The sequence below is a fragment of the Homo sapiens genome, chromosome 15 (genome assembly GCF_000001405.40).
Source record: "Homo sapiens chromosome 15, GRCh38.p14 Primary Assembly".
In the NCBI taxonomy this organism is placed as follows: Eukaryota; Metazoa; Chordata; class Mammalia; order Primates; family Hominidae; genus Homo; species Homo sapiens.
Window position 1 is genome coordinate 85302320 of NC_000015.10, and position 25542 is coordinate 85327861.

The window sequence follows — 25542 nt, forward strand, 5'->3', positions numbered from 1 at the left end:
TCTAAAAACAGGCATCTTTGCCCATTATTAGTGAAAGTGTGGCTCAGGGTACAGCCATCACCTGTCACTCTGCTGCCAGGCAGGAACATCTCCAACCATGGCCTCCTGATTTTAGACTTTTCAGGTATGAGTCATAGAGCTGCCCTAGACCCTCCAACTTCAGAAGACAAATGTCAAGCGAGCCAGGGAGTATTAGTGAAATCACTTTCTTCTGACTTAAAATGACTCTTGCTCTTCCTCCACAACTGTCCTAAGAACACAGTACATCAGTATAACAAACTTCTTAAAATTCCATCTGGGCGACCTGTACTAGAGGATCTCAAAGATTTCTTCCACCTTCACTTTTTATTACCTTATGAGAAAAAAGCGGGGAACATTTGTGTTTCTTTAAAACAATTCCCTACTCTGGTACGTAAGTATGTTGCCTCTTCCACCAGAAGGTTTAATTTTTAATAATCTAAGCTATGGTAAGAATTTCAATAATTCAAATAAACTTTCAGGTGAAAGAATATGGGACGAGAACAGGCTGAAGTTCCCCTTTCCTTTTCCCCAAAGCCTGTCATCACACTTACAGCGCCAGCCATGTGGCTTGCTCATCATATTTAATGAGAGCAGTGATCCAGAGGGTTTTGGAGTAGTCACTGGTTCTCCAGTCTATGCCCAGTAAGCTCATCAAGAATCATAATTCCTCAAAATTAGCCTGATTTGCTCATTCCACAACGCATACATGTATTGACATATCACATTATACCCTACAAATATATACAATTATCATTTGTCAATTAAAAATAAAGCCCCAAAAGGAAGAAAAATAAACACTCTAGTTCTTACAGCTGTTCTCTCAGTGGTCCAGACACTGTTGGCCACCTCTAAATTTCCTCATATATTCCCATGAAATAATGTTAAGTGAAGAAAATAGAAGAGGCACCAAGACAGAAAAACAGGCCAAGAGAACAGAATAAGAAGCCTAAAAGCAGACCCACCCACATATAAGTGGCAACTTGAAACTTGACAACAGTGATATTTGAAAACACTGGGGAAAGAAAGCATAATTAAAAATATAGTACCAGGACAATTGGCTTCATGAAGAAAATGATAAATGAGACCCTATCTCACATATAACAACTTGCAAATGTGAAAAACAATATTTCTAGCACTTGGGAAGAAAATAGAGGAAAATGTAATTTTATGATATTACAGTAAAAAAGCACTTCATAAGGCAGCAAAAACACAAAGAGAACAATTGTTAAATTTTACAAATTAAAATTCTAATATCTGTATAAAAAGGAGCTCATAACAAAAATAAAAGGCCAGCCACAGATAAGCATATAATAAACAAAGACTAATCAACTGGGATAAAGGTATCTTGCAAAATAATAGGAAAAAGACAAACAATGCCATTAAAAATGGGCAAATAATATGATCATGGAATTTACATAAACAGAAACATAAATGTCCAATAAAGGTACAAAAAGATATTCAGGGCTGGACACAGTGGCTCATGCCTATAATCTCAGCACTTTGGGAGGTCAAGGTGAGCAGATCACTTGAGGCCAGGAGTTCGAGACCAGCCTGGCCAACATGGCAAAACCCTGTCTCTACTAAAAATATAAAAGAAATTAGCCAGGTGTGGTGGCGGATGCCTGTAATCTCAGCTTCTTGGGAGGATGAGGCATGAGAATTGCTTGAACCCAAGAGGTGGAGGTTGCAGTGAGCCAAGATGGCACCACTGCAGTCCGACGTGAGTGACAGAGCAAGACTGTCTCAAAAAAAAAAAAAAAAAAAGATGTTCAGGGAAAATGCAAATTAAAACAACAATAATTTTACACCTATAATTTGGCAGCAATTAAGAGTCTGATAATACTAAGTGTTTATGAAAATGTCAAGAATTAGAAATATTATTCACTGCTAGTGGAGGTGTAAATCAGTTTAACCACTTTAATGAACAATTTGGCCATAGTAATATTGAAAATTGCTTTTTCTTGTGGGGCGCGGTGGTCATGCCTATAATCTCAGGACTCTGGGAGGCAGAGACAGATCAGCTGAGGTCAGGAGTTCGAGAGCAGCCTGGCCAACCTGGTGAGACCCCATCTCTACTAAAAATACAAAAATTAGCCAGGTATAGTGGTGGGCACCAATAATCCCAGCTACTTGGGAGGGTGAGGCAGGAGAATTACTTGAAGGGAGGTGGAGGTTGCAGTGATCTGAGATGACACCACTGCACTCCAGCCTGGGTGACAGAGCGAGACTCTTCTAAAAAAAAAAAAACTGCTTTTTCTCAACTCAGAATTGCACACTGCGGAATACATTATGAAATTCACATGTTCACAATGTCATGTGTAAATATATTTATTGCAGAATTGCAATAATTTTATATTAGTAAAAACTAATTATATATAATAATATATTATATATTATTATATTATATATATAATAATATATTATATATTATTATATTATATATATAATAATATATTATATATTATTATATTATATATATAATAATATATTATATATTATTATATTATATATATAATAATATATTATGTATTATTATATTATATATATAATTTTATAATAGTAAAAACTAAAATAAACCAGTTTTTCTATCATTTGGGGAATAAGTAAACTATATAATGGGATACTATCCAGTAAAACTTAATGAATGTTCATTTTTAATTTAAAAAAGTAAATTACAAAAACGATACATGATGCCATTTATATACATTTAAAAACAAAAGCAACTCCATTGTTTCAAATCCATTCAGGTCTGAACATATACACATATTTGGTGGTACATTTAGCTATACTAAAAAGTATTAAAACAGGATGGAAGTAATACACACTCACTTTAGGATAAGTGGTTAGCTTTAAGAAGAAAAAATGGGGTGAGTAATATAGTTTATGTCTCCTACCTCACTGTTTCTCTCTTCTTCTTCTGGTACTCTAATTACACTTATGTTAGACCATTCGATATTGTCTCACAGCTTTTGGGTGCTCTGGGGTTTTTACTTTTTTTTCTCTTTGGGTTTTGGTTTGCATAATTTTTAACGACCTGTCTTCAGGTTCATATATTCTTTCCTCAGCAATGTAAAGTCTCCTGAACTGCTCATTGACATAATTCATATCTGTTACCTTGTTTTTTATTTCTATCAATTAAATTTGACTCTTTCATATATTTTATCTCTCTACTGAAATCCGTCTATTCATACATGTTGTTTCCATTTTCCAATGGAGCCTTTAACATATTAATCATAGTTATTTTAAGTTCCCAGATAGTCTCAACATCTAGGTAGTCTTTAGGATTGCTTTTATTCTCCAAGATGACAGATTGGAGGTAGTGTTCACATGTCACTCCCACTTGGAAAGACAAAATAGCCTGTATATATTCACCCTGTGACTTTATTCCCAAGGAACACTGCAGGAACTAAACAGGAAAACTAAAATCCACAGATTATTTTTATTTTATTTGTCTGAGATGGAGTCTCACTCTGTCACCCAGGCTGGAGTGGAGTGGCACAATCTCAGTTCACTGCAACTCCGCCTCCCGGGTTCAAGCAATTCTCCTGCCTCAGCCTTCCGAGTGGCTGGGACTACAGACATGCATCACCACCAGTTAATTTTTGTATTTTTAGTAGAGACGGGGTTTCACCATGTTGCCCAGGCTGGTCTCAAATTCCTGACCTCAAGTGATCCACCTGCCTTGGGCTCCCAAAGTGCTGGGATTACAGGCATAAGCCACCACACCTGGCCCACAGATTATTTTTTTAAAGTAGCAGGCTGCAGCCTATGGCACCAGCCAGGTTAAAAACAAAACAAAACAACAACAACAACAAAAAAAAAAACTGTAAGTCCCCAGAATGTGAGAGGGGAAGTGACTGCCTCCAGGGTATACACCCCCACCAGGGAACCTGGTAATCTAGGCCACAGGGAAAGGCCTTAACCAACACTGGAACTGATTTTGAGAGTGGAGAGGAATATTAAAGCACAAACGGCAGCAGGAAGAACTCTGCATGCACTCCCAGTCTCCAGCATCGACCAAGGGAAGCCATTCCTTATTCTGCCACACAGGAGACCTCACAAAAGTCTGCCAACTTACTCAGGCAGCAGCCATTGCCTGAGTTAATTAAAAGAAGCTCCCAACTGAATTTCACGATATAACCTCGAGTGGGGAAGAACTCCCTTGGCCAGAACCCGGGAGCGAATGGGAAGTGTGCTGCAGGCATGAGCAAATGAGCCGGGTGCCCCGGCTGTGCAGGCAGACTGGCAGGGGCATGGCCTGAAAGCCATGGTTCTTGTCTCCACAGGGGAAGGCTTATGGCCCAAGGAAGTTTTGAGTTCTAAGCATAGATGGCCAGGAACTTAGCTGGCTGCTGCTAGCAGAATACTGCAGGTAAGAGATCTGCCTTGCCAAGTGCACGGGAGCTGGGTGGGGCTTACTGCTGCCTGTTACTCCCCACTCCCTACGTGAACTCTTCTATGCAGCAGATGCAGTTATGCTCCTCTCTGGAACATGATCCCAATGGCCAAAGAACCACCTCCACAACTCCCACAGGGGCCACTGCTAGCACCACATGTGAAGAGTCAAAACATGGACCTGCCTGACCCAGCCCCCACCTGCTTTGCCCACCACCTGCCCTGGTAGCTTAACACGAAAGACAGAAACTTTTAGGAGCACAAAAAACAGAAACTTTTCAGAGCTTTATGGCCCCACCCCTTGCCTGATTATCCAAAGTACCAGCCCTGGGTAGCATAAGGCAAGCACAAATCCCATCACTTCTGCTATAGCTGGTGCTCTTTGGCAAGCATCACTTCCTGGCTGGAGGCCAACTCACACCGTCCATTACAGCATCTGCAGGTAGAATAACACTGTGCCCAGGAAGGAGAAAACTTGTGTGTGAACCCAGCCATCACCATTGCCTGCACCACTCTGGCTAACCAGGAGGTCCTGAATCTGCCCATGTGACCTACTTATTACTACCCAAATGGGCATTTGAGGAAGCCAATACACGAAGACTTTCTATAACCAAGGAATCTCTGAGTCTATGTCACTCCCCTGCCACTCCTGTTAGAGCTGGTGCTGGTACCTGCTACTGGGAGACTTGAGAGCAGGTCATAAATCTGGATCCCTTGCAGATATTCCCTAGTACCAGGCTACAGTGTGGCAGCCGCATTGGGTGGCTAGACTCAGAGGAGTAACAGCATTCACAGTAGTCTGGCTCTCAGGGCCTCCCACTCCTAAAGGAAGGGGGAATGCACCCCATCAAGGGAACACCCTGTGGGACAAAAGAACCCAGGTGGCAAGCCTTGAGTCTCGGGTCTTTCTGCTGGTGGGAAGTTTCCTTCAGCAGAGGCACAATTGCAGTGGTGGGATCAGCAGGGAAAATCTGTAGCTCTCCCCCGACAAGTCAGGCAGTGTTGGTGTTTGTGAAGGGCCTTGGAGAGGGGGATTTCTTTTCTACCTCATTCACCACTGCAAACACAGCTGGGGCTTTTCCCATGGGAACTCAGTGTGGGTGCACCTCTAGACAGCCTCTCTGGAACACTTCAGGGTGACTGCATCCCTACTGGAGGAGCACCCTCCAGGTGCAGGCTTGCACAAGAGACAGAGTCACAATTCCTCTCTGCTTGGAACATCAACATTCCTGCAGATGAGTAGAGGTGCTTATCTGCTCTAAATAGCCAGAACACTGGATCAAGAGTTTGTCTGGGAGGTGGATCGCTCTCCTGCTGGCCTGGCAGAAGAGCTGAGGTGGCTCCAGTCCTTCCTTCTGATAAGACCTCAGCATGCTTCACTGAGAGTTCCCCCAGCCATCTCTGTCAAGGCAGGGACCTCTGTCCATCATTGGTTATTGCATTTACCCACCTGCTTTAGCCACAGCTGGTTTTCACCCATGGCCTAGCTCCCCTTTTGGTCTGAAGCCTGGACTATTCAACCCAGTAAATAAAATACTTGGGGACAAATAAATAAAGAAGTGCATAATATGGGGGAATGAGATAAGCTTCAAGAGACCTCTGTCATTCCAATCCTATGGGAGACAGTGAACTTGCTCACGCACTGAGCACAGTGCTACTACAACCAGCATCTGAATAAGCCATCATCCAAAGACTCTACAACCAAGGAACTCATACAGAGCCTTCACCCCTGAAAGCACCCCTGAAAGCATACAAAGCCTTCACTCCTGAATTAGGTTACAATAAACTATAAACATTTAAGTCACATCCTTAAGGGGGGGAAAAGAAATTTAAAAAAAACACAGTTAGGCTGGACACAGTGGCTCACACCTGTAATCCCAGAACTCTGGGGAGGCCGAGGACAGCAGGTCACTTGAAGTCAGGAGTTCGAGACCAGCCTGGCCAACATGGTGAAATCCCATATCTACTAAAAATACAAAAATTAGCCAGGCATGATGATGAGTGCCTATAATCCTAGCTACTCAGGAGGCTGAGGCACGAGAATCACTTGAACCCAGGAAGTGGAGGTTGCAGTGAACCAAGACCATGCCACTGCACGGCAGCCTGAATGACAGAGTAAGACTCTGTCTCAAAAAATGAAGAAGAAGAAAACAAGAAGAAGAAGAAGAAGAGGAGGAGGAAGAAGAAGAAGAAGAAGAAGAAGAAGAAGAAGAAGAAGAAGAAGAAGAAAAGAAATAACAAAGATGAGAGCAGAACTAAATGAAATTGAAACCAAAAAAATACAAAAGATCAATGAAACAAAAAGCTGATTCTTTGAAAAGATAAACAAAACTGATAGACCATTAGCTAGATTAACCAAGAAAAGAAGAGAGAAGATTCAAATAGGCTCAATTAGAAATGAAACCGGAGACATACAACCAACACTACAGAAATACAAAATGTTATTGGAGACTACTCTGAACACCTCTATGCACACAAAACAGAAAACCTAGAGGAAATGGATACATTCCTGGAAGCATACAACCCTCCTAGATTAGATCAGGAAGAAACAGAAACCCTGAACAGACCACTAACAAGCAATGAGATTGAATCAGTACGTTTTTTAAAATGCCAACAAAAAAAAAATTCCAGGGCCAGATGGATTCATAGCTGAATTCTACCAGACATTCAAGGAAGAGTTGGTACTAATACTACTGAAACTATTCCAAAAGAATGAGAAAGAGGGAATCCTCTTTAAATCATTCTATGAAGCTAGTATCACCCTGATACCAAAACCAAGAAAGGACATAACAAAAAAAAGAAAACTCCAGACCAATATTCCTGATGAATACACATGCAAAAACCTCAATAAAACACTAGCTAACCAAATCCAACAGCACATCAAAAAGACAACACACTGTAATCAAGTTGGTTTCATCCCAGGGGTGCAGGGATGGTTTAACATATGCAAGTCAATAAATGTAATACATCACATAAATAGAATTAAAAACAAAAACTATATTATCATCTCAGTAGATGCAGAGAAAGGATTTGATAAAATTCAGCATCACTTTATGATTTAAAAAACCCTCAACAAACTAGGCATAGAAAGTACTTAATAAATTTTCAAGTTAATAAAGTACCCAAATTAATAAAAACCATATATGACAAATCCACAGCCAAAACCATATTGAATAAGAAAAGGTTGAAAGCATTCCCCCTGAGAGCTGGAACAAGACAAGGATGCCCACTTTCACCACTTCTATTCAATATATTACTGGAAGTCCTGGCCAGAGCAATCAGACAGGAGGAAGAAATATAGGGCAACCAAATTGGAAAAGAGGAACTCAAACTATAACTGTTCACTGATGGTATTATCATATACCTAGAAAGCCCTAAAGACTTCTCCAAAAGACTCCTAGATTTGATAAATTAATTCAGTAAAGTCCCAGATTACCAAATCAGTGTACACAAATCAGTAGCGCTGTTATACACCAACAATGGCCAAGCTAAGAATCAAATCCAGAACTCAATCTCTTTTACAACAGCTGCAAAAAAAAAACAAACAAACAAACAAACAAAAAACAAAAAACCTAGGAATTTACCTAACCAAGGAAATGAAAGGTACCTGCAAGGAGAACTACAAAACACTGTTGGAAGAAATCATAGATGACACAAATGGAAACACATCCCATGTTTGTGGGTTGGAAGAATCAATCTTGTGAAAATGAACATACTGCCCAAAGCAATCTATGGATTCAATGCAATTTCATCAAAATACCAATATCATTTTTCACAGAATTAGAAAAACAATCCTAAAATTCATATGGAACAAAAAAGAGCCAGAATAGTCAAAGCAATCCTAAACAAAAAGAACAAATCTGGAGGCATCCCATTACCAGACTTCAAGTTATACTACAAGGCTATAGATACCAAAACAGCGTGGTACTGGTATAAAAGCAGGCACTTAGGCAAATGCAACAGAATAGAGGACCTAGAAATGAAGGCAAATATTTACAGCCAACTGATCTTCAACAAAGCATACAAAAACATAAATTGGAGAAAGATTACCCTACTTAATAAAAGGTGCTGGGAAAACTGGCTAGCCACATTTAGAAGAATGAAACTGGATCCCTATTGCTCACATTATACAAAAATTAACTCAAGGTGAATCAAAGACTTAAATCTAAAACTCAAAACCATAAAAATCCTAGAAGGTAACCTTAAGAAAACTCTTCTGGACATTGGCTTAGGCAAAGAATTTATAACTAAAACCCCAAAAGCAACTGCAACTGCGACAAAAATAAATAAATGAGACCTGATTAAATTTAAAAGCCTCTGCACAGCACAAAAAATAATCAGCAGAGTAAACAGATAACCCATAGATTAGGAGAAAATATTTGCACGCTGTGTATCTGAGAAAGGACTAGTATCCAGAATCTACAAGGAACTCAAACGAGTCAGCAAGAAAAAAAAATAGCCCCATCAAAAAGTGGGCAAAAAATATGAATAATATTTCTCAAAAGAAGATATACAAATGGCCAACAAACATATGAAAAAATGCTCAACATCAGTAATCATCAGGGGACTGCAAATTAATGCCAAAATGAGATATCACCTTACTTCTGCCAGAATGGTCATTATTAAAAAGTCAAAAAAATAGATGTTGGTGTGGAAGTAGTGAAAAGGGAATGCTTATACACTGCTGCTGGGAATGTAAATTATTACAACCTCTATGGAAAACAGTGTGGAGATTTCTTAAAGAAATCTAGATCTAAAAGTAGATCTACCATTTGATCCATCAATCCCACTCCAGGGTATCTATCCAAAGGAAAGTAAGTCATTATATGAAAAAATAATGTACGTGTATGTTTATTGCAGCCCAATTCACAATTGCAAAGATATGGAACCAACCTAAGTGCCCATCGACTAATGAGTCAATAAAGAAAATGTGATATACACCATAGAATACTACTCAGCCATAAAAAGGAACAAAATAATGCTTGCAACAACTTGGATGAAATTCGAGGCTATTATTCTAAGTGAAGTAACTCAGAAATGGAAAATCAAACATGGTACATTCTCACTTATAAGTGGGAGCTAAGCTATGAGGACACAAAGGCATACAGAATGATATACTGCACTATGGAGCCTCTGAACAGGGAGAGTAAGAAGCGGTTGTGGGACAAAAAAACTACATATTGGGTTCAGTGTACACTACTCAGGTGATGGGTGCACTAAAATCTCAGAACTCACCACCATATAATTCTTCCATTAGCCCAAAACCATCTGTACCTCAAAAGCTATTGAAATTTTTTAAAAACTAAAACTAAAAATAGATAAATTGGTTTTATTCATCCTTAATCAGGCTTTTTTTCTTATGTGTATATCTTGTAATTTTTTTTTTTTTTACTGACTGCTGGACAGTGTGTGTAGAATAAAGATGAAGATAAATAGCACTTGTGCCTGAAAATGGATACACATTTTTTTTTTTTTTTGAGACAGAGTCTTGCTCTGTCACCCAGGCTGGAATGCAATGGCGCAATCTCGGCTCACTGCAACCTCTGCCTCCCGGGTTCAAGTGATTCTCATGCCTCAGCCTCCCGAGTAGCTGGGATTACAGACGCGCACCACCACACCTGGCTAATTTTTGTATTTTCAGTAGAGACAGGGTTTCATCATGTTGTCCAGGCTGGTCTCAAACTCCTGATCTCAGGTGATCCACCTGCCCCAGCCTCCCAAAGTGCTGGGATTACAGGCATGAGCCACTGCACCCCGCCACATTTACAAGTTTTTAAAATTAGCTTATTAGTGGGGCAGGGAGGGTGAGTCAATCTGGTCAGGAACTGAGAAGGGGATTTTGTTGCTATAGTTACCTTCAGTGTAACTAGTGAACCAGTGGCTTCAGATTCCTCTAGTGTGACCTTGTGCTTGGTACGGGGGCTGGATGCCGGAGGGTTTTTCTAAACATCTCTACTCCACGCTTAGCTTTCAGCCTTCCCATGTGTGTGCACTACACAGAGGATCTCCTCCCATGCTCTTGTCTCTTCCGCAGTAGTAAGCTGAAATGCTTGAAACTCAGTGCTTGCTCACCTGATTTTGTGGGGCAGGGGGAGGGACAGAAGGGGGAATTCTCTGTTGGAAAGAAGAGGATTTTCTGTTAAACTGGTAAGCTGTTTGTGCCTGGGTCTCAGAGGTATGACTTTCTTACTGATCCTGCCTTTCTTCCCCACTGTAAGCCAAATTCTGCTTTCTTCTTTAGCTCTTGTGCAAGACATAACTTCCTGCACTTTCCCCACCAGTAGGAGGCTGCTAGTTGTATTGGTATAGCATTCATACTTAGAATGTTTTCCTACCCCTTTCCCTGGCATAGAAAGAATGTTGTCTTTGACCTTTCCCCCAGCTCCCTGTGGTGCTCCCTCAATGTGGTGCTACCTCTCAGTTGGCCGCTTCTCCTTCAATAGCTCATGGCTTTGGTTCCATAGGGGAGGAGTCTCCTGTGGCAGGGACCAATTTCCTCCATCCTTCAGTTCTTAACCAACTAGAGAACTTTCTGTTCTCCCTCCGTGACTCAATCTTTCTTGTGAGCAATCAACAGAAGTCCATGGAGAAGAAACTACTACTAAGTGTGAACTTCCCTGGTGTCTGGGATCCCAAGGTTTCTATACTGTCACTGTAGCCCATACTCAGCTTTTACCAAATCATTACAAATTTTAGTTGACTTCTTACCTACTAATATGGTACCCAATGTTTCTACCACCCATGCTCTGCCCAAAGGGGAGCTAATGTGTGGATCTTCTCTCTTCTCAGAGGGGCCGGTCTTTGCTTGGATTTCAGGCTGCTTAGTCACCCTCCAAACTGAATTCTCAGATGGGTTTAAGAAAAGTTATAATGTTGCAGTTTATCTGGCTTTTTCTTGTTATGTGGGAGTAATACTTTTTTAGCTTTCTATATCCTTGGTGAAAGTAGAGTCTATCTATATCTTTAACTCTTATTTCTTTTTTTTTTTATTTTGAGATAGGGTTTCACTCTGTCACCCAGGCTAGAGTACTGTGGGGCTATCACAGCTCACTGCAACCTCAAACTCTCTGGGCTCAGGAGATCCTTCCATCTCAGCCTCCCAAGCAGCTGGGATTACAGACACATGCCACCACACCTGGCTAATTTTTTGTGTTTTTAGTAGAGACAGGGTTTTGTCATGTTGCCCAGGCTGGTATCAAACTCCTGGGCTCAAGCGATCTACCTTCCTCAGCCTCCCAAAGTTCTGGGATTACAGGCATGAGCCACTGCACCTGGCCTAACTCTTCATTTCTTAATTTAAAAAATTTTTAAAGAGATCCAAATTATATCAATAAAAAAATAAATTAAAAAAAAAAAAAAAAAGAGATCCAAATTAGTGAAGTGACATCATATGTTAAATCTGGTTGTTGGTTCCACGGCCTGGCAAAGAATTTTTTAGCTGGCCACATCATCTTGAATTAAAACTTCATTTCCCACCTATCACGCAATTAGATGTGGCCACGTTACTACATTTTAGCCAACAAGATATGAATGAAAGTGTGGTATAAACATTCTTGGGAGTTTCTTTAGAGAGAAAGAGGAATTCCTATGGGGTAGGATGTGGGTGAGATTTCTGGAGTTCCAACAACCATCTTGCAAATGCAAAGGCATCCCAAGAATGGCACACCAGAGAGGTGGAGGTTGCATCCCCAGTGCTGATGATATAGAACTGCCAAACCAGCCCTGGATTGACCATCTACAGACACAGTTTAGGTGACAGAAAAATAAATGTCTTTCTTGTCTAAGCCCATGTTATTGCCTGGAATGAAGAGGAACTCATTCTATTGCCACCCATCTTAATCCAAACTGCCACACTTGGTGACATATTGTTTTGGTATGTTTGAATTATTTCATAATCTAAATGTTTAATTAAAGCAAAATTGCACAGACAGTAAAAATATCAACAATATATAAATATGCATTGAGGAAGAGAAATATGTCAACATTGCTTCTCTCTGGGTAGTGAGATTATGTGTACGTTCTTTTCTTTTATCCTCAGCCATGTCTATTCGACTTTTCCACATTGAGCATGATTCATTGAAGTTTTTGTTATACTGAAGCGTGGTTCTCCTCCTCTGCTGGCACTGGTATGTCATCGCCTCTGGGCTGCTTAGAAGACTCCTTTAGCATGTGCTATTTCCATAGCACCTCTCTGCAACCTTCATCTTTCTTTGTGAGTCTCTTCCTCCTGACCATGTGGTAGCTCCATTCTGAAACCAGAATTATAAATAAATAAAGACTTGGATTTGCCTCTGTCTTTCCCCACACTTAATACTTCCTGCTCCTGTTCACCAAGGAGGAGATTTTCTCCCAACCAGTGACTTCAGCTTCAATTAGGAGTTCCAAAGCAATCCTGGCACTCTTGGCTTTAGCATCCTTTCTCAAATGTCTTGGAATAACTGCCAAGCACTGTATTGGAGACCATAACATTACCTAGGATCTCCCAGGGACCAAGAACCACTGTCTCCTTGAATTCTGGATGATCTGCTACTTCACAATAAGTTCCAAACTCATAAAGAGTATCCAAAGCCCCAGAGTTTGAGGGTAATCTTTGTTTCCCTCCTTGTTCAAGACAGTACATTTTACTGACCTGGTATATTCTTTATCTATTGCTGCATTGAAAATTACTCCAGTTGGGCTACAGTCAACACAAGGTTCAACTGGGACAAGATATACTTCCAAACTCATCCGGTGGCTGTTGGCAGGTTTCACTTCCTTTTGGGCCGTTGGGCTGAGGACCCAGTTCTCTGCTGGATGCTGACTAGAAGCTGCCCTGGATTTCTTGCCTTGCAGGTTCCTCCAACATGGCAGCTGGTTTCAGCATCAAAGCACACAAGCCAAGAAGTCAATAGAGAGGAGAAAGCAGCAGCAAGAGAGATTCCTAGCAAAGTAGAAATCACAACCTCTTGCAACCTCATCATGAAAGTGACATCCCATTGCTTTTGTCATATTCCATTCATGAGAAGCAGGTCAATAGGTCTGGCCTGAACACAAGGGGAGGAGCTTACCTAAAGAGGTAAGGACCAGGAGTTAGAGAGCACTGCAATATATCTTAGGAGTCTGCCTACCGCACGAGGCCTCACCATCAGTCCAAAAGTCCCCTTCAGTTTTTCCCAGGAGATCTAGCAGGACCTCAGGCAACCTGGACTTCAAATGACCCCTTCTGCTATCCCTAGTTCTATATGTAGCAGCCCAGACACATTAATTTCTACTTTCCAAAGTTGTTCTTCTGTCCTCTACTTGTCACACCATCAAATTTAGTTTGGGCTTTCAGAGAATGAAAATGGCAGACAGACAAAAGGAAAGCTTATCTGAAGTTTAAGATTTTAAGGATGCTGCCAGTTTCCAAAAGCAATTCTACCCTGGTAAAATAAAATCCTTATTCTGCTCGTCCAGGACACTTGACCCAGAGCCCAACAAGGCGGTATTCCCGTTCACACTCACTGAAGCCACTCTGTCTTCCTGCAAGAGTTATCTTGGCCCTAGTCTGTAGCTCATCTCCTACAGGGGCACTTAAAAGGAAACAACAGTTCTTGGTCCAAAGCAATAAAGAGACAAGTGAGTCATAACAGTCTGGGTTCTTCACCAGCATAAGCGCTTCCATGAATCGCCTCTATAAAAACCCTGCCCTTCTAGCCCAAGCCGTGTTCCAAGTTCCAAAACCTTCCATTCAAGGGTTTTATAACTCAGCCCTGTGCTCAGAAATGTCACTGCACATAAGAGGGCCTTTGATCTCTGGCCATACCCAAGCCCATAGTCTGCAGCGAAGCGTGCTTTGATAACTATCTAAAGAGAAAAGCACTTTGGTTTCCTCTCATCTATTTCTATTCTACTTTTAATAAGCTGCTTAGCTTCAGGCGTCTGCCCTCTGCCCTCCAAGCTTCATCTCAACCAGAAGTAAAACAGGCTTGTGGTTGTGTGCTTTGAGAGCTCATGAAATAACAATAGTGGTAGCAAACACCAATAAAGGGCTTACTACGTGCCAGGCACCATCCTAAGTAGTTTCTGTAGGTTATCCTATGTAGGTTTTCACAGATGAGGAAATGGAAGCATAGAAAGGCACTGAGTGACTAGCTTTCTGATGAAGTCACAGTCAGAGAAACAGAGCCAGAAGTTAAAATCAAGCAACGCATCTCCAAAATGCATCTTACCCCTGTGCAATGAAAGAGAATACAAGCCCCCTCAGAGAAGGGAAAATATGAAGTCAGAAATACGAGTATTTCTTTAATAAGAGAGAAGATTTGCAGCAAACTCCTTCAATCTAGAAACACTTTCTTTTTCCAGGTACTGTGTTAGAAATCCCTTCAGTAGGAAAACTAAATGGGCAAGTCTTTAAACCAAACCAAAATGTTTCCTGAGCTTTCAATGAATCAAATTGAACTCAAGGCCCCAAGTCTGAATAAATTATGCCCTAAGATCTGTCAGAAGCAGTAGATTTCTTCTATTGGGTTTTTCTTCCATTCGATATAAAGACATAAGCGCTCTGTTGCTGCCCAATTGCTTTATTAAAAAAAAAACATATATATATATATATATATATATATATATATATATTTGAGACGGAGTCTCGCTCAGTCGACCGGGCTGGAATGCAGTGGCAGGATGTTGGCTAAGTGCAACCTCTGCCTCCCACGTTCAAGTGATTCTTCTGCCTCAGTCTCCCAGGTAGCTGGGATTACAGGCTCCCACGACCACGCCCAGCTAATTTTTGTATTTTTAGTAGAGATGAGGTTTCACCATGTTGTCCAGGCTGGTCGCAAACTCCTGACCTCAAGTGATCTGCCCACCTCAGCCTCCCAAAGTACTGGGATTACAGGCATGAGCCACCATGCCCGGTACAGAAACTTTCTTACTCATTTGAATTGAAAACTTCTATGTTTTTAAAGCATATTTTCATTAAGTGTGGAAATTCATAAAATACGGTTAGGTAGGAAGACGATGTTCACAAATTAGGTTTATAATCTATCATTTCAAACTTCGCTGTATTCAAAAATTAGTTATCTAAAATTAACTCCAGAGAAGTTTGTATGTACAAATAGTTGTTATAACAAAAGCTACCTTTCTTTTCTCAATCCGTGTCATGTGGATCTAAGCCCCTGCCTCAGAAATGGGGTGGGCATGTGTGTCCTCTTGGTGAGACCACTCTACCGCCCTAGCCAATGTGATTGCTTCAGAGATGGTTACATAGCCCTAGCTGGACCATTAAAAGTCTCCAAACCTTTGCTGGAATTATTGAGAGAGAGAGCATTCAAAAAGAACTCAGTATATAAAAAATACTGGAGTTAATAAGCAAGTAAAATATTAACAGAAGACTGTATATGCCCCAGGCCACCAGATGGGGGAGAGTGCACCTGAAAAGAGGCCAATACAGAAGAAAGCAGATAGAAATAGCTTCCAATGATCCTGTGGGGGCCTGGATCCAGCTGTACCTGAATCTCCTCCAATGCTATGCAGTTACATATGCCAGTAAGTCTTTTTTGCCTTTAAATCTGTGCATTGGGTTTCTGCTCCTTGTAACCTAGGGAGTCCTGACTAGTTCCTAGGAGCAGGTGTGCTTCCAGATCCTGTTCAGTTGCTACTGACCACAGCAGGTAGTGTGAAATGACACCCCAGAGAGCTGTGTATTTCAATGCCACACCCACATTCTGGGTGTGCCTGTGAAAGCAATCCAGCAGCAGTGTGCACAGCTGGAGCTGACTTAAGAGCTCCTAGGAAGGCCCAACCCTACAGCTAAAGGTCATGTAAAGACGTTGTGGAGAGATAATAAACAACACACACATACGCACCCATTAGGCAAAAATACCACATATTTTCTTCTCAGAGGAAATAACCATGAGCAAAGTATGGATATGAGTCAGTAACTGACTATAATTAGGGGCTTCCCTCCCACCCCAGTAACATCTGAATCAAGGCAGAGGACATTCCAGCAGTCCAGCAGTTGGTAAAGAACTAACCACATCTTTCTTGATGTTTCCTGTGACTCGATCCTTGCAGAACAGGGCACTGCAAGTCAGAAAATAGCTTCCTAGGAGAATTTAATACTAAGGAATTGGGAGTTTCCTCCGTCTATCAGAACCAAAATCATTCTACCTTAAGCCTTGGGGTTTGGAGCTCAACATAACCCAAGCATCCACTCTAGGAATCCCCCATCTGCTGCATAACTTTGGGTCCATTTGTATTTCAAAACTCTATTATGACTAGATATCCATATGCAGAAGAATGAAACTAGGCCCCTATCTCTCACCATATATAAAAATCAAATCAGCCAATTGCAGTGGCTCATGCCTGTAATCCCAGCACTTTGGGAGGCCGAGGCGGGCGGATCACCTGAGGTCGGGAGTTCGAGACTAGCTTGACCAACATGGAGAAACCCTGTCTCTACTAAAAATGCAAAACTAGCTGGGCGTGGTGGCACATGCCTGTAATCCCAGCTATGCAGGAGGCTGAGGCAGGAGAATCGCTTGAACCCAGGAGGCAGAGGTTGCGGTGAGCCGAGATCATGCCATTGCACTCCAGCCTAGGCAACAAGAGCGAAACTCAGTCTCAAAAAAAAAAAAAAATCAAATGAAAATGGATTAAAGACTTACATCTAAGACCTGAAGCCATAAAACTACTAAAAGAAAACACTGGGGAAATGTTCCAGGACATTGCTCTGGGCAAATGTTTCCTGAGTAAGACCTTAAAAGCACAGGCAACCAAAGCAAAAGTGGACAACTGGGAACATCTCAAGCTAAAAAGTTTCTGCACAGCAAAAGAAACAATCAACAAAGTGAAGAGACAACTCACAGAGGGGAGAAAATATCTGCAAACTACCCATCTGACAAAGGATTAATAACCACAATATATAAGGAGCTCAAACAACTCTATAGCAAAAAAAGAAAAATCCAATTTAAAAATGGGCAAAAGATCGGAATAGACATCTCTCGAAAGAAGACATACAAACGAGGCTGGGCACCATGGTTCACGCCTGTAATCCCAGCACTTTAGGACGTCAGGGCGGGCAGATCGCTTGAGGTCAGGGGTTCGAGACCAGCCTGGCCAATATGGCAAAATCCCCATCTCTACTAAAAATACAAAAATTACCTGGGCGTGGTGGCATGTGCCTGTAATCCCAGCCACTCAGGAGGCTGAGGCAGGAGAATTGCCTGAACCTGGGAGGTGAAGGTTGCAATGAGTTGAGATCACACCACTGCTCTCCAACCTGGGCAATGGAGCAAGACCCTGTCTCAAAAAAAAAAAAAAAAAAGACATATAAATGACCAACAGTTATATGAAAAAATCCTCAATCTCATTACTCATAAGAGAAATGCATATCAAAACTACAATGAGATATCACCTCACCCCAGTTAAAATAGCTCTTATCCAAAAGACAGGCAGTAATGAATGTTGGCAAGGATGTGGAGAAAGGGAAACCCTCATTCACTGGTGGTGAGAATGCAAATTAGTACAGACAAGGTGGAGAACAGTATGAAGGTTTCACAAAAAATCTAAAAATATAATTACCATACGATCCAGCAATCCCACTGTTGGGTATACACCCAAAGAAAGGAAAGCAATATATCGAAGAGATATCTACACTCTTATGCGCTCTTATCTGCACTTACGTTTATCGCAGCACTATTCACAGCCAAGGTAGAGAATCAACCTAAATGTTCACCAACAAATGAATGGATCAAAAAATGTGATACATATACACAATGGAATATTATTTGGCCATGAAAAAAGAATGAGATACTGTCATCTGCAACAATACGGATGGAACTGGAGGACATTATGTTAGGTGAGATAAGCTAGGCACAAAAAGACAAATATCACATGTTATCACTCATATGGGGGAGCAGAAAAAAAATTGAACTCTTGGAGATAGAGAGTAGAAGGATGGTTACCAGAGGCTGGGAAGGGTAGTGGGGTCAGGGACAAAGATGAGTTGGTCAATGGGTAAAAAATACAGTTAGGTAAAAAAAATGAGATCTAGTGTTTGACATCACAATAGGGAAACAATAGCTAACAATAATTATTTCATATTTCAAAATCAATGAAAGAGTAGAATTGGAATGTTCCTAACACAAAGAAATGATAAATGTTTGAAGTGATGGATATCCCAGTTACCCTGATTTGATCATTACACATTATATGCTTGTATCAAAATATCACATGTATCCCCGTAAATACATACAGCTATTATGTATCCATAAAAATTAAAAATAATTTTTAAAAACTGTATTACAATATAGATAATAGACAAAAATGTATTAAATGTATATGTACACTTTCATTTGAGACAGGGTCTCAGTTGCCCAGGCTGCAGTGCAGTGATGCAATCTTGGCTCACTTGCAGCCTCAACTTTCTGTGCTCAAGCGACCCTCCCACCTCAGCCTCCCAAGTAGCTGGGACTACAGGCACATGCCACCACACCCAGCTAATTTTTGCATTTTTTGTAGAAATGGGATTTTTCCATGTTGCTCAGGCTGGTCTCAAACACCTGAACTCAAGCGATCTGCCGGCTCCGGCCTCCCAAAGTGTTGGGATTACAGGCGTGAGCCACCAGGCCCAACCTACACTTTCAAAATAGTACGAATTACACAACAATGTACCCATCACCTAGGCTGAGAAATATTAATACATTATAAGTCATTTTAAAGTCTACTCCCTGCCCTTCCCTAATTACACCCTGTTCTCCCTCACTCCCCAGAGAATTAACCACTGTTCTGACTTTAATGTTAAGCATTCCTTTGCATTTTATTAAGTTGTAGCACAAATGTATGTATCCCTAAAAAATAATTGTTTCATTTTGAAAAACTCAGTAGTCAGCACAACCCTAGCCCTGTAAAGAACAGATAATATCGGCTGGGTGCGGTGGCTCACGGCTGTAATCCCAGCACTTTGGGAGGCTGAGGCGGGCGGACGACGAAGTCAGGAGATGGAGACCATCCTGGCCAACACGGTGAAACCCCATCTCTACCAAAAATGCAAAAAACGTTAGCCAGGCGCGGTGGCGGGCGCCTGTAGTCCCAGCTACTCGGGAGGCTGAGGCAGGACAATGGCGTGAACCCGGGAGGCGGAGCTTGCAGTGAGCCGAGATCGCACCACTGCACTCCAGCCTGGGACACAGAGCGAGACTCTGTCTCAAAAACAAAACAAAACAAAAAAAACAGATAATATCACCACTTTTAGATGAAGGCTTCCAAGAAAAGAAAAGCTGAAGAAGTCTCCAGGTCACGCTCTGTCTCCAGCTGCCCTGAATGTTTATGAGAGCCCCTTCCGGTGAAGTCGTAGGGCCAGGCATACCAGTGAGTCCTCAGTAACAGGGCTTGCCACAATTGGGCCATCAGACAGGACTGTCCTGTGGGTCAGGCAAAGGATGTCTAGCATTCTGAATGGATGGACTGTACTCTGAATTGAGTATTTTCTGCTTCTAAACCTGCCGTGACCTGACCCCAGTACTTGCCAACTAGCCTTCAGGAGTCAGTGAAAACAGAAAAATTCTGTGGGGTGAAATAAATGACCTTAGAAGGTCTAAGCAGCAGTGATGTAGGAATTTCATCAATATGTGGTCAAGACAAGATTAGAAGCTAATATGAAACCCAGGCATGCTTTCCTAAATTGAAAAAAAAGTAAATGTCAGCAGGGGAATTGTGGATGACAGCACTCAATCTGTCTCTCTAGTCTACTCTTCTAATCTGCACCACTGGCACAGCCCTCATTCTGGGATCTTCTCATCCTCCAGGGGACTCTCTTCTAACTGGATCTCCTAATTCCTCTTAAGAAAGGTTGCCTAAGACCCAGTTTTACAGATTTTACACACCTGAAAAAGTAGTTTTTCACCTCTCAAATTGAAGTGATAGTTTACATATAGAATTCTAGAATGGAAATAATTTTCCTTCTGAATTTGGAAGGCACTGCTCTATTATTTTCTTATCTTCAAGGTTGTGATTAAAAAGTTCAAAGCCACTTTTGTTACCAATCCTTTGTATGATAAATACAAAAAAAGATAAAGTTTTTTCCTTTCAAAGATTGTAGAAACTTATTTGTTCCCAGTGTTCTGAAACTTCACAACAGGTGCATTGTTGTAAATCTCTCTTTACTCATTTTGTTGTAAATTCAACAGATCCTTCCAATCTGACAACTCATGTCTTTTAATGCAGAGAAATTTTCTTGAACTATTTCTTTGATGATTTCCTCCCCTTTGTGTTCTCTGTTCTTTTACTCTGGAAACTCACATTATTCAGATATTAGATCTCCTGATCCTTTAACTTTCTTACATTTTTAGCTTAGTTTCTATTTCTATATATTTTATTCTACTTTCTAGCTGATTTCCTTTTGTTCTACTGAGTTTCTAATTTCTAGTATCATGTTTTTAATTTCCAGAAGCACATTTTTGTCCTCCAAATATTTCTTTTTATAGATAGCATCTTGGTTTTTTTTCCATAGATGGAGTATCCTTTCCTTTCCTTCTGAGGGTTTTAATAATAGGTTATTTTCTATTACTTTCTTTTCTTCCTGTCTTGCCTGTGTATTCTTTAAGCTGTTGTGGGTTTTTTGCTTGTTTCATCCCAACCTATCATGTTAGAGACTTTCTCAGATAACTAGCACTTCTTGGCCATCTACTTATACTACCCAGTAGAGAAGAAAACCTGATTTGAAACTCTGAGCATATGATGAGCTTTGTTGACTTTGAACTTCATTATAGGATTGTATAGATGGTACCTGTTGGGGTAAAACACTGATGTCAGTATATGTAGGCATTTTTTTCTTGATCTGGTCAATTTCTTAAAGAAAAGCCTTCTATCCTCCTGCCTAGAGGTAATGTCCTTGGTACCAATGTTCTGGTTGGAGGAACAAGACAATGAGTCCCTTCATTTTGGGTTTTTTTTTTTTTTTTTGACAGAGTCTCCCTCTGTCACCCAGAATGGAGTGCAGTGGTGCAATCTCAGCTCAATGCAACCTCCACCTCCCAGGCTTAAACGATTTTCATGTCTCAGCCTCCCAAGTAGCTGGGATTATAGGTATGTCCCACCACACCCAACTAATTTTTGTATTTTTAGTAGAGACAGAGTTTTGCCATGTTGGCCAGGCTGGTTTCCAACTCCTGGCCTCAAGTGATCTGCCCTCCCAAAGTGCTGGGATTACAGGCGTGAGCCACCATGCCTGGCCTTCATTCTGAATTGAGTGTGCATATAGCCATTCAATCCCTGTTTTTGGCATGGCATTCACTGGTATTGTGCTCACATCCACAAATAAGTCTCGAGCATCCCATCCAGAGGCTTCTCTGTTTGATCCCTTCAGAGACTAAATCTTCAGACCTCGGGACGGGTAAGCACAGTCATGAGTGACAGGACAAACATAACTTTACTGTTTCACTAGGTTCACTTTTGTATGGCTTTGCCGTTTACAGTTTTTCAAGGTCAGATTCTTCAACTGTATTTCTACTGCCCTAATTTATTCCCACTAACTGTTGAAAAGTTCCATACAAATGCCCTCTGCAGAAACTCCCCTAAAAGTACCTGTGAGAAATATACATGAACACCTTCTCCAGCTATGAAAAGTCATTGGCTGTAAGCAGGAAAAAGGGTTAAATGTTGGCTGGAAAAAATCTCTCTCATTATGCAAGTCCATTCCATCTGTGGTTACTTCCTGTTCATTCTGCTATCAAAAGAGCCCCCTGTGGTCGAAAAAGCTCCACTTGATGGCTTTCTAGGTTTTTTTCCTAGATAAATATTCCATGTCCGTATAGACTGGTTAAGATGTTAACATACATCATCTTATTTCTTCCTTACAACAATAGCCCTGGGAATTAGGAAGGTTGAGTATCATTAATATTATTATTACTCCTTTACAGATGTGAAAACTTAGGCTGAAAGAGGTTACATAACTTGTCAAAGATCAGATTATGTCAGGCACGGTGGCTCACGCCTGTAATCCCAGCACTTTGGGAGGCCGAGGCAGGTGGATCACCTGAGGTCAGGAGTTTGAGACCAGCCTAGCCAACGTGGTGAAACCCCATCTCTATTAAAAATACAAAAGTTAGCTGGGCATGGTGGCATACACCTGTATTCCCAGCTACTCTGGAGGCTGAGGCAGGAGAATCGCTTGAACCCAGGAGGTGGAGGTTGGAGTGAGCCAAGATCACACCACTGCACTCCAGCTTGGGCAACAGAACGAGACTCCATCTCAAAAAAAAAAAAAAAAATTAGATTATGTGCAAGAAATAAGGCCAGGGTTACTCAGATCCTCTGCCTCTCATGCACACACTACCTACTAAACCACACTGCTTCACACAAATTAGCAGTCTTCATTTACATTTTCACAGACCAATTTTGTTATTGTTGTTGTTAGAGACAACATCTTGCTCTGTCACCCAGGCTGGAGTGCAGCAGTGTGATCATAGCTCACTGCAGCCTAAAACTCCTGGGCTCAAGCCGTCCTCCTGCCTCAGCCTCCCGACTAGCTGGGACTACAGGTCCCTCCCGACTAGCTGGGACCACGCCTGGCTCAGGCCAATTTTAAAGAGGAGAAAACTTACAGATCTGGAACAAAAGCTGAGATCTCTTCTCACCATTTGTGCATTTCCTCTTAGAAAAAAAAAAATATATATATGGGCCGGGCGCGGTGGCTCACGCCTGTAATCTCAGCACTTTGGGAGGCCAAGGCGGGCGGGTCACCAGGTCAGGAGATCGAGACCATCCTGGCTAACATGGTGAAACCCCATCTCTACTAAAAATACAAAAAGAAATTAGCCGGGCGTGGTGGAGGGCACCTGTAGTCCCAGCTACCTGAGAGGCTGAGGCAGGAGAATGGCGTGAACCCGGGAGGCGGAGCTTGCAGTGAGCTGAGATCGCGCCACTGCACTCCAGCCTGGGCGACAGACCGAGACTCCGTCTCAAAAAAAAAAAAAAAGATATGAGTGGTTCATTTCAAAAGTCTAGAGCTCTTGCCCTTGAATTACAGCATTGAAGTCACCTTATGATGTGGTGGCTAAGGTGCTAGGAGGCTCAGTGAGAACTTACCCTAGAGACAATGGACGTGGCTTCATGGCCAAACAGGTGCCCAAACTCTGTGTTTCCATTTTCTTCCATGCCTCAGTCAGCCCAGGTTTGCCCTAATGTCTTATTCTTCGTTTTCAGCTGAGCGTAGTCAGTAGTGAAAACAAGTCACAGCTTTTGAGTTTTACTTAGTTACAAAGACTATTTACTAGTATTGAGGAAAGATACTCATTTTGTGGAGCTTCCAAATCCCTGCTCCTTGAGTTTGACTATCTGGATTACATTAAAGATATAATGGATGCATAGAGACATCAAATGGACAGAGCATGTCACAAAAGTTATGTATAAATTATATTTTTGGAACTTGGAATATATTTCACCATAGGGAAATTGTATTGTGCTTTTTAAAAGGCATGACTAAATGATGAAATAAATGGATAATAAAGTTCCCAAGCCAGCACACAAAAGCCTGTTAAGTGTGTTTTTAACCCATAATATACCTAAAGTATAAAGCCAAGTTAGTATTTCAGATACATTTGGTTCTGGGCACCAAATATGGTTTTCATAGGAAGACACATTTTTCCAAGTGGAAACACTTCTAGTGCCTAAACAACATAAGGGCAAGAGAACTAACATTTAGCTTCTGCAAAGCATTAAGGACACTGAGTCACAAAATGGTTAATAACATTTTAGGGTGTATTAATGCTATGCTCAAAGACATGTAGGCAGAGCCAGAATTTAAGCCAAGGTTTATCTCAGCCTGTGCTGTTTCTACTAAGCTTAGTTATCTCTGTAGGTTTATATTCCAAATATTCTGAACTGAGGACAACTTGTCTCCCCAACCCCTACTCCACTTCCTTTGGTACAGTAAGAGGTGAGATGAAGGATGGTACTCCAGAACAGCCAATCTCAAACCTGACCAGGCATCAGAATCACCTGGCAGGCTTGTTAACCAAGATTGCTGGGCCCCATTCCTTGTGTTTCTAATTCAGTAGGTCTGAGTGGGGCCTGAAAATTTGCATTTCTGACAAGCTTCCAAGTGATTCTAATGCTGCTTGTCCAGGGACCATGCTCTCAGAATTCATTAGGGCTTCCCTAATAAGTCTTCTCAACAAATAGCCAATCCTTGAAACGATCAATGATTTTCATAGCTGGTAACAAGGAATGATGAAATTCACTGAATCTTCAAGCACTATAATTATGATTAGTACCTGAAGGGAGCGAGCAGGGCATGGAGAGACAATATAGAAAGGAAACAAATTGTTCTCAGCAAGATTGCACTCCATGCATAGATTTCATTTTCTGCAAAGAAGAAAAGAAGCAAACAATACAGAAATCAGCAGGGAACATTGGGCTTTGAAGATAAAAGCAATAATCAGGCATTGTGGCAACAGCATGATAACTATAAAACAATTGAGTTTACCCCCTTTTTTTCCCAATGCCCAGAGGGAAGCTTAATCAACCAACACATATTTATTGAGTTCTTACAGTGTGGTCAAACAGGAGTGGGTAAAAGTATGGGAAATAGCACTTGACCTCAACAAGTTACAGTGATGCCTCATTGATCAGTTTCTTGGGGGAAGGAAGCATGCCACAAAGTGAAATTCCCAAATAAGTAAAGCTAACTCCTTAAAGTACTCAAATGTTATTTGAAGTATATTTTTTATTTTAAAAAAGTCTTCTGGCCGGGTGCAGTGGCTCACGCCTGTAATCCCAGCACTTTGGGAGGCCGAGACGGGCAGATCACCTGAGGTCAGGAGTTTGGGACCAGCCTGACCCACATGGTGAAACCCCATCTCTACTAAAAATACAAAAATTAGCTGGGTGTGGTGGCACATGCCTGTAATCCCAGCTACTCGGGAGGCTGAGACAAGAGAATCTCTTAAACCTGGGAGGCGGAGGTTGCAGTGAGCCAAGAATGCGCCATTGCACTCCAGCCTGGGCAAGAAAAGTGAATCTCTATCTAAAAAAAAAAAAAAAAAAAAAAGTCTTTCTGAAATCCATACCATCCTACCATTTTAAACAGAACACAAAAACATGGTTTAAGTTTTTCTTGATGATTCTAGGCCAGCACTACAGATATCTCCCTTTAGAATATTAAGT

General features: G+C 41.3%; 4 annotated features.

Annotated features, from left to right (window-relative positions):
• Positions 207 to 286: an enhancer, noted in NCBI's record as "active region_10003". NCBI's record gives its function as "activates an Ori minimal core promoter by ATAC-STARR-seq in GM12878 lymphoblastoid cells {active_cell/tissue: GM12878}" and the evidence as "EXISTENCE:reporter gene assay evidence [ECO:0000049][PMID:35858748]".
• Positions 10352 to 10531: an enhancer, noted in NCBI's record as "active region_10004". NCBI's record gives its function as "activates an Ori minimal core promoter by ATAC-STARR-seq in GM12878 lymphoblastoid cells {active_cell/tissue: GM12878}" and the evidence as "EXISTENCE:reporter gene assay evidence [ECO:0000049][PMID:35858748]".
• Positions 10552 to 10631: an enhancer, noted in NCBI's record as "active region_10005". NCBI's record gives its function as "activates an Ori minimal core promoter by ATAC-STARR-seq in GM12878 lymphoblastoid cells {active_cell/tissue: GM12878}" and the evidence as "EXISTENCE:reporter gene assay evidence [ECO:0000049][PMID:35858748]".
• Positions 16186 to 16285: an enhancer, noted in NCBI's record as "active region_10006". NCBI's record gives its function as "activates an Ori minimal core promoter by ATAC-STARR-seq in GM12878 lymphoblastoid cells {active_cell/tissue: GM12878}" and the evidence as "EXISTENCE:reporter gene assay evidence [ECO:0000049][PMID:35858748]".